General features: G+C 35.6%; 1 protein-coding gene across 5 annotated transcripts in view; it reads left to right on the plus strand.

Moving 5' to 3' along the window:
* PIK3C3 (phosphatidylinositol 3-kinase catalytic subunit type 3) overlaps positions 1-13,670 on the plus strand; it is a 132,597-nt gene that overhangs the window by 61,236 nt on the left and 57,691 nt on the right. For 4 of the 5 annotated variants that reach the window (NM_002647.4, NM_001308020.2, XM_047437549.1 and 1 more), the window contains 3 exons: positions 4,169-4,236; positions 10,974-11,079; positions 12,856-12,972. In NM_002647.4, coding sequence (NP_002638.2) covers positions 4,169-4,236; positions 10,974-11,079; positions 12,856-12,972 — 291 coding nt within the window. Of the gene's footprint in view, positions 1-4,168; positions 4,237-4,732; positions 4,933-10,973; positions 11,080-12,855; positions 12,973-13,670 lie in introns of those variants that run through there. The other variant, XM_047437551.1, reaches the window with a different exon arrangement.

Below are 13,670 nucleotides of genomic sequence, written 5' to 3' on the forward strand. Positions count from 1 at the left end.
GGGAACTGTTCTACATGCTGGGGTTGATGCAGCAGAAAACAAGACAGTTACAATGTTTGCCTTCATAGAGGTTATGTTCTAGAAAGCTCTTACAAGTTACTTGTTACTAAAAAAGTAACATCCCTCTAAAAGTGAAGCAGGTGAGAGAACAACCATATGGCTATCTGGGGAAGAGCATTTCAGATAGAGGGAGTAGCAAGTATAGAGGTCCTAAGACCAGAGTTTAAGTGTATATGTTTGAAGAACACCAGAAACTAGTGTGCCTGGTTTGTGGGAGAGTGAGCAAAAGAGAACCTGGCAGAAGATTGGATCCAGGAGAGAATTGGATATCAGTAGTGTAGGGCTTGTAGGCCATTAGTCCGAATGAGTTTTCCATATTGGTAGCTTGAACAAAGGGTGATTTACATTCTAGATGCTGTGAAGTGATTGGATTCTGAAAACGATGTTCAGAATATTGATTTACACTCCCCCATCACTCAAAATGTTTAGGCTAAAAATGATAGTTTGTATATATTTCTGATATTTCTCTTGTGATTGATGAACCTATCTGTTGTTATTCAATGATTAAGCCATTTAACTTTTTGTCAGCTGAATAGTTTTTTAGAGGGTTCAGGTATCCAGAAAAGAGTGGCAATCATTTTGAGTGATATTTCTATCTTCCCCTATCCCTTCCCCTATTCCCATAGAGTGTATTGTACAAGCCATTGTCACCTTTATGTTAATACACAATCAAGCTGAATTACCTCTCTTCTTATCACAACTTGAGATATCAACATTCCTGTCTCCTTTTTGACACCTGAGCAGTATCTTATGTCCTTCCTCGTTTTATTCTTGGAGTTTCAGGAGAACATTATACGTGTCTGGCCAAATGTTTGAAAGGAGACAGAAACTCAATTATTCCCCAAATCTGCTCATATTTTATGAATTCCATGGGTCATGAGAAGAAGTTGTATTTCCCAGCTGTTGGGTATAGCATTATACATAAGTTACTAGAGCAAGCTTATTGTGTTATTGAAATCTGTACTCTGTCCTAACATTTTTTTCTGCTTTATCTGTGAAAGAATTAGGGCAAAATTCCCCTGTATGATGGTAGAATTATTAATTTCTTCTTGTAGTTCTGTTAGTGTTTGCTTTAAATATTTTGAAGCTCTTCAATTAAGTAAATAAATTGCATCTTTATCACTGTTTGGTAACCCTCTTGATATCTAATAATGCTTTTCATCTTAAAACCTGTTTTGTCTGATGTTAATAGAGCTTTGTCTTGATTAATGTTCATGTTTATCTTCTCAATATTTTGTTGCGTTTATCTTTTCCTTTGAATTTTTTTGTAGCCTTATATTTTAGGTTTATGTTTATATTTAGGTCCCTTGTAAATATCATGTAGCTAAATTTTGTTTTTAAATCTAGTTTAACACTCTGTTTTATAACTGGAACTTTTGCCCCATTTGCTTTTATTGTGGTTGTAGCTGTATTTTGACTGATTTCACTATCTTATTTAGTACTTTCTATACTTTCTTATATATATATAAATTACATATTCTTGCTTGTCATTGGCTAAATCCTTCTCCCTCCACCCCACCCCATCTTATTTAACTTCCTTCAGATTTGATAATATTATTGTTATTATTGTATACACTCAGTAAATATTTAGAGATACTTTTCTTGAAGGATACCTGCACCTTCCTCACCATTTCTTCTTATGTCTGTGACCTACAATATGTGATCTTTTTTTATAAAGCACTTTTTTCTTTAAATTGTTTTAAAACCTTAAAGTATTGCTTACACAGATTGAGTTTTAACATTTACAATACATACTTCCTGTTTCACAGTTTTTTAAATTCAACTTTTCTTTATGTTCTGTAAGTAATTTTTTATCAAAAAGGCATAGTATGAAATGAAACGTGTTTGCTATTGAAATATATACATCACTGTACAAAAGTATAATGTTCTTGGCAGATAGTCAAAAGAGAAACTTTAGGCCTATATTCTGCCTATTAAACTCATGGACTCAGCTTTATATAATGGCTTCCTGATTGAGGAGTTTTTTAAATTGGATTTTTGGTGCATATTTAAAATGTACACCTAAGCTTTAAAACTGGAGATAAAATTCTTACTGAAAGCATTGGCACATCTACTTTGTAACAACACCCTCTTATTACTCGGACTTTACTTAAGAAAGGACCCCTACTGTGTTAAAAGTTCTAATCTGTTGATCCCTACTCTTTCATTATTCATCAGCTCCCTTCAATGTTTGCTTTTCTCTGAACATAGCTTTTATCCCATGGCTGTCATTTTAGTTATTATTTTATTAGTACCTGCAGTTCCCCTGGCAAAAATCTCAACTCTTGATAAGCCTCATTAATTACCTACTTTCGCTATGCCTGAATATTGCTGAAGAAAAGCACATAGCATAGCATGTTGGTGTCACTATAAATTCATGATCACAAACCTCAGATGAGCACTCACTGCTGTCTGCCATCTTCCATTTCCCTAGACGTGTTGATCTTCCTGCTCTGCAGTGATTTTTCATACCATTTCCACTCTGTTCTTCATGCCCCGCCTCCCAATCTCTAGATGACAATTCTGCCTCATACTTAATGGAAACAATAGAAACCACTAGGTAAGAATGGTCTGTTTCCCATCACCGGTTTTATAGACAGGAATCCCTACCCCATACTTTCCTTCTGTTTTCTTACACAGAAGAAACATAGCTCTCTTCAAAGATGTGTTATTTTCTTTTCCTGATAGAAATACTCAAGTATGTGTTAGAATTTTCCATGTTAAAAATTCAGAAAAACAAAACTGTCCCTTGAAACCACATCTCTTGAAACAGCACCTTGTTTTCTTACTTCTCTTCTCAAAGGAGTTGTTTATACATACTCTTTTCTTCCTTCTTTCCAGCCTTTAGTCCATATCATTCTGGCTCTTGCTTAAAACCCAATTTGCTAAGTTACAAAATGACCTTAATACTTTTGGTTGCACATTCTTTTCAGCTTCTTCAGAGTATTCAACAAAGTAAATAACTTTCTTCTTGAAAAACTAACTCTTCTCATGGTTTAGGTGATACTGTATATCTCTTGTTTTTCTCTTCATCTGTCTTGCCATTTCTTCTCAGTTTCATTTGTCAGCACTTTCCTCTCTCCTTGATATCTTAATGTTCCTCAGGGTCCTCTTCTAGTCTCACTTGATACTCTTGTCCTAGGTTGTGTTAATAAACTCAAATTTGCATTTCTAGCTCAGATCTTTCACCTGAGTTTCAGATTCATCTATTCAAACATGTATTTGATCTCCATTGTATGTCTGACAGGCATTTTGAACTTAATATTTCAAAATACAACTATTTCCTCTTACTCTATAGATAGGCAGCTTTTTGTCTGAAATCTCCGTTTGTGCCATAACAAATCAATCCAGAAATTTGGGAGTTACTATTAATGCCTTTCTTTCCTTCCTACTTCCTCTCCACCAGCAGGTCCTGTTAATTATACTTCCAAGATATTTCTTATATTTGTCTCCTTTTCACCATCTCCACTCTCATTATTTACTCTCCTAGTCTACCGTAATAGCATCTTAACTGATCTCAGGTCTGTACTTCACAGGACAACCAGTCATTTTCCTAAAATGTAAATCACATCATCTCACTCTCCTCTTAAGATCCTTTGTTGGGTATCCATTGCTTTTAAAATAAAATCCATACTCAATAATAATGTGACCTTAAAGGTCTCACATACTTTGACCTTTGCCTATCTTTTCAGTCTCTTCAGTGTTCACTATATTTTATTTACATTACTTAGCATTCCTTGAACAAGCCAAACTTAGAGCTTTCCAGTGTCATTTTGGTCTTGCCTGAATGTCATGTCTTCATTGTTGCCTTTTCTAATCTCCCAACCTAAATTATTTCTATGACCATTTCTTTTAATGTCTCTCTCCTCTACCAATATGAAGCTCCAGGAGGACAAGGAGTCCTCTGAACTGCGGTATTCTAACCACTTGCATATTTTCTGATTTAAAATATGTTTTATGTATGTATGTAAGGATAGATAAATGGCAGAAAATCTGATCTATTACATAAGATATACAGATGAAAACTGATAGGCAAATGTAAACTTACTTATTTTCCCCCATTACTAGTAGATGATAATATATAATACATTTCTTTTAATTCTTTCAGCAAGATCTCTGTACCTTCTTGATATCGAGAGCCTGCAAAAACTCAACACTGGCTAATTATTTATACTGGTATGTAAAAATAATTTTCTGTTTATTTTCTTATTACCCTTAAGAATTATTTTTTCTCATGCTATAAACACAAAGATGATTTAAAATAAGATATGAGCAATCATCAAAAGTCTAGATATAGTATTTATATCTAACTGTATTCCCTGACAGCTGGGTTCATGGAAATGCTTGTTGGCATCAACATTTCTCTCCCTTTCACTAAGGATATAACTTTCCAGGAGCTAGGATATAACTGGGGAGGGTAATGGGTACTTTCAGTTTAATATCTGTTTGGCATGTAAAGTAGTTGAGTATGATATTTCACAGTTCTTCAGGAGTATATATTTTCACATTATTTACTAAAACATTGGAATCATTTAAAAAGAAAAAGTTGGAATTAAAAGTTACCTTATGGCATTTTAAACATGAGGAAACTGAGGCAGAGGCTTGCTGTAGCTGAACTTGATAGACTCTGATCTAGGATTAAATCATTTATCTACTGCTTTGCCATTTTCAGGGTATTTTCAGTTACCTTTTCTCATTTGTTTCTATGACGTTAAATGGGCAAGCATAAATATCTCTATTTCACATTAAAACAATGTCCTGAGTCACTTGAAGGAAAGAGAGAAACTAAGGCACGGAGTGGCTGACTTCTTGAGGCACAGTTAATATGAAGCGTGGTGCCCTTTATTTGCCCCAGAATCCTGAAGAGAAAAAGGCAAGTAGCTTAAGCCACAATCAGAAATATTTTGCTTCAATAAAAAAAAAGTACTGGGATTAAACACTAGATAAGAGGGCTTCATCTAACTTTACGGAGCAAACAAAGGGCAGAGCCAGGTGGGTAAGACCTGCCTACAGCCTTCTTTACCTTTGGGAGAATCCTTAAAACTACTTATATCACTTTTTAAACTTCTTGGCATGAGGCTTTTTACTGTCTAAATGATTTCTAATCTAATCTTACTGCTCAATTTATAGCCTTAAACAAATTACAAATTAGTAGATGTCCATTGTAAAAGCTCACTACAGGTTGAGCATACCAAATCCAAAAATTTGAAATCTGAAATGCTCCAAAATCCAAAACTCTATGATCATTGACATGAGGTGCAAAAGAAATGCTCTTTGGAGCATTTCAGATTTTGAATTTTTGGATTTAAGGTGCTAAGTATAATGCAAATATTCAAAAATCAAAAAAAACTAGAAATCCAAAACATTTCTGGTTCTAAGCATTTTGGCTAAGAAATGCTGAACCAGTACTTTTGAATAATGATGAGGTATTTTGCTTTTTGTGAGAAAATTATACAAAATACGATTTTGTTTTAAGACTGATTTGGGAAGCTGCCCTTGTGGGTCAAGTCCAGCCTTAACTTCATTCTCCCACTCTCCAGAGGTAATGCTCTGCTGGGTACTGCCCCTGTACTTAAGAAGTAGGTAACTAAATTGGAGCACTCTTTTTCCTTTTTTCTTTTTTATTGTACTTTAAGTTTTAGGGTACATGTGCACAACGTGCAGGTTTGTTACATATGTATACATGTGCCATGTTGGTGTGCTGCACCCGGTAACTCATCATTAACATTAGGTATTTCTCCCAGTGCTATCCCTGCCCCCATCCCCAACCCCATGACATCAGTGTGTGATGTTCCCCGCCCTGTGTCCAAGTGTTCTCATTGTTCAATTCCCACCTGTGAGTGAGAACATGTGGTGTTTGGTTTTCTGTCCTTGCGACAGTTTGCTCAGAGTGATGGTTTCCAGCTTCATCCATGTCCCTACAAAGGACATGAACTCATCCTTTTTTATGGAGCACTCTTTTAACACACACAATTTTTGATTTACATAAACAATAAATATTTGTTTAGTTTAAGCCTTTATGGTTCTCTTTACAACAAAGAAAAACCACTGTCAACAATCTTAAGTAAATCAGTGATTTTCCCCCCTTTGGAACCTGTGTTTATTTTTTTTTGGTTGTGTTTGTTTTTTTCTGTTGGCCTCTGTAGTGGGAAGAAAAAGAGTTTCCTGCTTTTACTTTAGCAGTTTAATATAATATTCATAAAACTACATTTTCCTCACGTTAAATTTCATTATGTCCTTGAAAATATAGGAGGTTTTGACTAATTGTTAATCACTATTCTTTCTTTGAAAGGTTTACTTAGAAATTCTCATATTGCCAAATTGCTACTATTTCCTTTAAATGCCACCTTTTACCTCTAATGTTCTCTGTGTTCCAATCTGAATATTTAAGGATATGTCTTGTCGCCGGTCTTATGGAAAAATATTTCCTCATGAAAATCTAAATATTTAGAAGGAAGTAAAGAGAAAAAATATTTGTGGGGTATGTTTCTAAGTTTTTGAGTAAATATTTCAAAGCTTCTTAGGTATTTTTAAATTAAAATTTTGTATATTTTTAAAACCATTTGCTAAGAATTCATTTAGAGATATTTTTGTTTCCTTGCAATATTCACAGAAACTTTTCTCTGGCTCAGAATTTATAGTCTAGAGTATTCACTATGGTAAGAGCTATATGTGTATATACTGATTATGTGGTGCTTTCAAGTTACATATTCTTTGTGTTTGATTGAAGACTAGATTTCATTATTAAATTTGAAATGAGTTTTGATAGAATCTTTGATCTCTTATTTCAAGTAGGCAGAATTTTCTGAAAGCAGCCAAACAGTAGGAAATCTGTTCGATGAAGTTTCCAACATAGCAGCTGCTTCTGTTCATAAGGAGCACACTTTTTTTTCCTATAAGCAAAGTACAGCCCCAGTTCCCAGTCTTATAAACATTCAATCAAACTTAGATTTGATTTGTGTTTTCCCACTATATCTCTGATTCATTGAATCAATAGCATATGCTGTGTCTATTCATTCCCTAAGGAGTAATTGTTTTTCCCATATTTACAGTCTGCCTATTACATATTCAGAAATACTCATGGGGAGAAAAGCTATTGATGTGTGGACTCTTGCCTTTAATAAACACTGCTTTTGTGAATGTAAGGTAACAATAAGGGAAATAATTTCAAATAGTTGGTTTAAAATGATCATTCTTCTCTTCCTTTGAGCATATAAAAATAATAAAATGTGAGAATTTAAATGCTTCTCTAAGCCTACTCTATTATAACAAATGTATTAAAATAGAAATTTTAATTGTGCTGTTTCCTTTGAACACTTGAATTTCCTTTTTTCATTTGTTCCCTTTCTGGTGATTTAAACAGGATTCTTGCTGTAGCTAAATCCTTAGGGGCCTATAGTTGTGCAGACAATCCTTTTAAAATGAATAGTGTCAACCTTTTAAGCCACAGAGGGGCGTTACAGTCTCCAGTTTGTAAAATGATGGGCATCAGAATCTATAAATTGTTGCAGTTTTTTATTTTTATAGTCATTCTAGGGTGTTGAAATTGAAAGTAAACTTTGGCTGCTTTGACATGTTTTCTATAACTTTTAAGACCTTTCAAGGTAATAAAGGTTATTTATGCCACAAAATAAAATTGCCAGGAAACAGGTAGCCCACTGATGTCATCTTACAATGGGTACCTGGACAATTTTGTTTGCATTCCTACTTTAAGATGACAGCTTTCAAAGAAATACCTTAGAGTGCTTTAGAATCTAGTTTATTGATGTGAACAGAAACCTCAGAAATGATTCAAATCTAGGTCTTCTAGTCTTGATAGCTAACCTTGTCTCTCATATTTGGAGATGACAGTGTCACTTTTCTTTTTTTAGGTGGCCTTTTTGTTTGAATAGATGTTTGGCTTGAATGATTTTTTTTTTTTTGGAGATGAAGTTTCATTCTTGTTGCCCAGGCTGGAGTGCAATGGTGCGATCTTGGCTCACTGCAACCTCTGCCTCCCAGGTTCAATCAATTCTCCTGCCTCAGCCTCCCACATAGCTGGGATTACAGGCATGTGCCACCAAGCCCGGCTAATTTTGTATTTTTAGTAGAGGCGAGGTTTCTCCATGTTGGTCAGCCTAGTCTTGAACTCCCAACCTCAAGTGATTCACCCGCCTCGGCCTCCCAAAGTGTTGGGATTGCAGGTGTGAACCACCACACCTGGCAGACTTGAATGATTTTTGAGAGGTGTTTGATACTTGATGCTTATTATGAGCATCAACATATTTTTTTTCTTTTTTTTTTCTTTTTTTTGAGATGGAGTCTTGCTCTGTAGCCCAGGCTGGAGTGCAGTGGTGCCATCTCGGCTCACTGCAAGCTCTGCCTCACGAGTTCACGCCATTCTTCTGCCTCAGCCTCCCGAGCAGCTGGGACTACAGGCACCCGCCACTGTGCCCGGCTAATTTTTTTGTATTTTTTTTAGTATAGTAGAGACGGGGTTTCACCGTGTTAGCCAGGATGGTCTCGATCTCCTGACCTCATGATCCGCCCACCTTGGCCTCCCAAAGTGCTGGGATTACAGGCATGAGCCACCACGCCCGGCCAACATATATTTTCAATAACAGGAAATGGCTGCAGCCATAGTGTTTACTTGGTGGTCAGAAAGAGCAAGATACAGCAGTGAGCCCCTACATTGTGGTCAGCTATATGTTCATTTGGAAATAAGTTTGCTGCATAAACACAGGAAAAGCTGAATACCCTAAGATGACGGAGATAATCAAGGACTTTAACAATGAAGGGTAGAAGGGGATGGCTTGGATTTGAATAATACCATATTGACAGTTTCACCATTTAGAACTGCTGTTTTTTGTTTTAATGTTCGGCTTTAGATTCATGGACCACAAATTGAACTGAGTGCCAAGGAAAGTTTGAGGTAGTGCTATGTTCTCTGGTTTGGCTGCAGCCCCACTTCTCTGTCTTTCCTTCTATTTAAGTGATTCAAACATTTGTTTCCTGCCTGCCTTTTGAGAAAATTTGGAGTTTGTGAACCCTGCTACATGAGAATTCCTAGCCCAAATACCTTGGATATTGTTAGTACCTTCGATAGAGGTAGAAAAAATTCAATTTAATGTGATAAGTTTGGTTTTACATGTGTTCAGTTAGAAATGACAAACAGTGTCTTGAAAAGGGGATCTGGTCCTTGAAAATTAGAGTGCATGAATGTGAAAGCAGGTCATGTAATGGAATTCAAGATTAGACCTTAGATGTAAAAAATGAATATGTATTTATATTTGAAAATTATCAATAATGAGATAGTAGCTAAATCCACAAGAGTGGAATTATTCATTCAACAGTAATGTATTAATAATATGTTGAGCATCTATTATGAGCTAGACATGGACGTGCTGAAGATATAGTGGAGAACAAGACAGGTAAGCCCTCAGCTCTCATGAAGTTGACCATCTGAATGGCTGAATACAGAGTATACTCTCCCAGAAATAGTGGAAAGCATAATAATAAGCATCCGTGACTTGAGATTTGGGAAACATTGTCAGTTAAGAAGGTCGAAAAGTTTCACATGTGTTTTAAAGATAAAACAGTGTGAAAGTCAACTTAGTAAAATCAAAAAAGTCTGACCTGGGAGCCCAAAGTCCTGGGTTTCAATCTCAGTTTTACAATCAGTCATACCACCATAGACAAGACACAGCCCCTCTAAGTTTCACTATTGATGAAGCAAGCAAGTTGATTGAGATTGATGGTTTTCAAACTACACATCATCATGATCCACTGAAAGTAATTTAAAGTTTCACAGTCTAGCATTTGTATTTAAAGAAAAATGAAATAAACAGAATAGCAAATATTAACATATTGCTCACAGGATGTTGCTTTGTGAAACTTTTCCGTTTTATACATCTGTGTGCATATGTGGCTGTGTGTATCAAGCTGTGATACTTTTTTTTTTCTCTTTGAGAGATATCATCTCCCTTTGTTGCCCAAGCTGGAGTGCAATGGTATGATCATAGCTTACTGCAGCTTCACCTGGGCTCAAGCTATCTTCCCACCTCAGCCTCCTTAGTAGCTGGGACTATAGTCGGCGACACCACACTTGGCTTATATTTAATTTTTTTTTAAATGTAGAGGCTGGTCTCAAACTCCTGACCTCAAGTGATCCTCCTTCCTAGGCCTCCCAAAACACTGGGATTATAGGTGTGAGCCACCATGCCCAACCTGTTATTTGCTTTGGTTTGTTCCCAGTGGAACATTTAGAAACACTGGATTAGAAGACCTATAAAGTCTTATTCAGATCATTGCTTATATGATTTTTGTAATTGTATAAGCAGATGAGGGTTAAGAAGACATTTAAAATGTCTTTTACTCTTTAAAACCATAGTTTTTTAATTGGAAAGTTAAAGATTATGTATGGATCTTTGAAAAACGGGAAACTGGATGGGAAAGGAAAAATTACTTAAAATTTTATTCATCTTTTGAAAATATAAGTGACAAGAATAGCTTCAGAGAGGTTTTCAGAATAAGAGAGTCTTATGTAATACCAAAGTATTACACAGATTATGAAAATAATAGTTTTTGTTCTCGAGTTACTCAGTAAATATGTGAGCTTAGATGATTTCTGAGGATGTTAATACTCTACCTCATAAATAGGAGAAAATGCTTGTTTTGGTGGCAAAAGTTTTAGAAAATTTGGGATATTACACAAATTAAGGCATTACCACTCTTAGTTTACCTTTTATTGATGGTTGTATGTGTTCCTCTTTAAGTTTTCACTTTTAAAAGTGATGATAAAATGTGTTTTATTACTCCAATTTTATTATTTTTGCATATGTAAATTAATCTGTTTTAGTGAAATGATATGAGTATTTACAAACTGAATCTAAGTTTCATTTCACATCACATGAATGGCTCAAACTATTTTTAAGGTATGTGATAGTGGAATGTGAAGATCAAGATACTCAGCAGAGAGATCCAAAGACCCATGAGATGTACTTGAACGTAATGAGAAGATTCAGCCAAGCATTGTTGAAGGTAACCCTTAAATGTGAGGGTTGGCAAACTGCAGCACATGGGCCAAATTCAGCCTGTTGCCTGTTTAGGAACATCCCATGAGCTAAAAATGGTTTTATATATTTATTTTTATTTTTATTTTTTTGAGATGGAGGCTTGCTCTGTTACCCAGGCCGGAGTACAGTGGTGCCATCTCAGCTCACTGCAGCCTCTGCCTCCTGGGTTCAAGAGATTCTCCTGCCTCAGCCTCCCGAATAGCTGAGATTAAAGGCGCCCGCTACCATGCCCAGCTAATTTTTGTATTTTTAGTAGAGACGGGGTTTTGCCATGTTGGGCCAGGCTATTCTGGAACTCCTGACCTCAGGTGATGCACCTGCCTCGGCCTCCCAAAGTGCTGGCATTACAGGCGTGAGCCACTATACCTGGCCTGGTTTAGCGGTTGAAAAGAAATCAAAAGAAGAAGAAGAATTTGTGATACATGAAAATTATGTGAATTCAAATTTTAGTGTTCATAAATTTATTGGAATAGAATCATACTCATTTGTTTTTATATTGTCTATGGATACTTTTGTACTCAATAGGAGTTTAATAGTTGGAATGAAAACTGCATGGCCAAGAAGACCTAAAATATTTACTCTTTGACCCTTTACAGAAGTTTTCTTGATCCCTAATTTAATGAAATAAACCTGTGCATGGAATTAAAAAAAAGCTTTGCTTTTTTATTTTCCTTTCTATTGTGTATCTTTCTTATCAAGGCTATGTACATTTCCAGAAATCTGGCAATGGTCATATTGCAGATTCTTTTTATATAATGTATTTTTGCCTTTTCAACAGCTTTTAAAAGAGATTTATTTTTCCTGTGTTCGATTCTTAAAGCAGTGTCACAGTTTAGCCAGCAGAGGGTGCAAGGGCAGCGAAAAGAAAGCTACCACACATTAATCTGTGGCTTGCCGCAGAAATAGTCTATTTCATGGCATCTTTCATCTGTTTGATGTTTCATGCTTTTAAAAATTTAAATCACATCTTATTAAACACTTTGAGACTAAGCTTTTGTATTCGTTCCCAAAGCTTCTCAACATCAAACTGATTGGCAAATAAGCCTTTGGTCCTCTCCTCTAATCTCGTTTCTGTTACAGCCTTTGTCACCCTTGAAGACATTTCAGTTTCTTTAAGTTTAAATTGCCTCATCTTTGAAATGAGGTTGATAACATTTACCCAGCTTCCCTTACCAGGGTAATTGGGAAGATTAAATTAGAAATGTATTTTATAATATTTTATGAACTAGGAATCACTACATAGGACCGTATAGCATTTAGTTTTTATGACTTATATTTTAAGCACATATTGTGGTGCTATTTGAAGTTTTCTTTTTTTAAAAGTTGATTTTTAGTTCCTTGAAGATCTATATCTTTGTTTCTGCCATATACATGTATATATGTCTAGCACATTTCTGCATCATAAGCCATCGGATATTTATTGAATCAAATAATGAGTGAATGTATTTTAGGATGAATGAATTCTATCTTGTCACATGGTTTATGTGGGAAAAAAATGCGGTTGTAGATAGACCAGTATTTGCTGAAGACTCAGATAATTTTCGATTGTGGATGGATTAGTGGTGTTTAACTAAGATAAGAGGTTTCTTGTTATTTTTGAATCAAGATAATCTTTTTCAGTTTTGCTTTCTATTTAAGTTTATAACTGTGAGAAATATGAATAAGGATTATCCATGCTGTTAAAGAAATCCAGATCATTACGCAACATAGAACTAATTTTTTCTCACTTTGAACCCTTCAGGGTGATAAGTCTGTCAGAGTTATGCGTTCTTTGCTGGCTGCACAACAGACATTTGTAGATCGGTTGGTGCATCTAATGAAGGCAGTACAACGCGAAAGTGGAAATCGTAAGAAAAAGGTAAGCCTATGGTGTATGCTTTTGTTCCTAATAGCATCTTGGCATCAGAAAATACTGAATTTTCACTATTGTCTTTTTGGGTTGATACGTGAATTTTTTTTTTTTTTTTTTTTTTTTTTTTGACAATGTCTCACTCTGTCGCCCAGGTTGGAGTGCAGTGGCACGATCTCGGCTCACTGCAACCCCCACTTCCTGGGTTCAATCAATTCTCATGCCCCAGCCTCCCGAGTAGCTAGGATTACAGGTGCCCGCCACCATGCCCAGCTAATTTTTCTATTTTTAGTAGAGATGAGGTTTCACCATGTTGGTCAGGCTGGTCTCAAACTCCTGACCGTAGGTGATCCACCCGCCTCAACCTCCCAAAGTGCTGGGATTACAGGTGTGAGCCACTGCGCCCGGCCTATTGTGTGAACTTCTTACCATGAAATTATAGTAATAGGAATGTTTTATGAGTTTATATATATATTGATATGATATTTAATCTTCATAACAACCCTATAAGTTAGGACCTAATATTATCCCAATTGTGAGGAGAAGAAAGTAAAGAGAGGTCAAGTAATTTGTTTAATGTCATACAGCTAGTAAATATTGGAGTGGGGATTTGTACTCAGACATTCTTAGTCCATATTGTTATCCACAGTGCTTTACCACCTCTCATTTTAGAATCTTAGCAAATTAGAATATACAATATATTTGAT

Source organism: Homo sapiens, chromosome 18 (genome assembly GCF_000001405.40).
Source record: "Homo sapiens chromosome 18, GRCh38.p14 Primary Assembly".
Taxonomy (NCBI): Eukaryota; Metazoa; Chordata; class Mammalia; order Primates; family Hominidae; genus Homo; species Homo sapiens.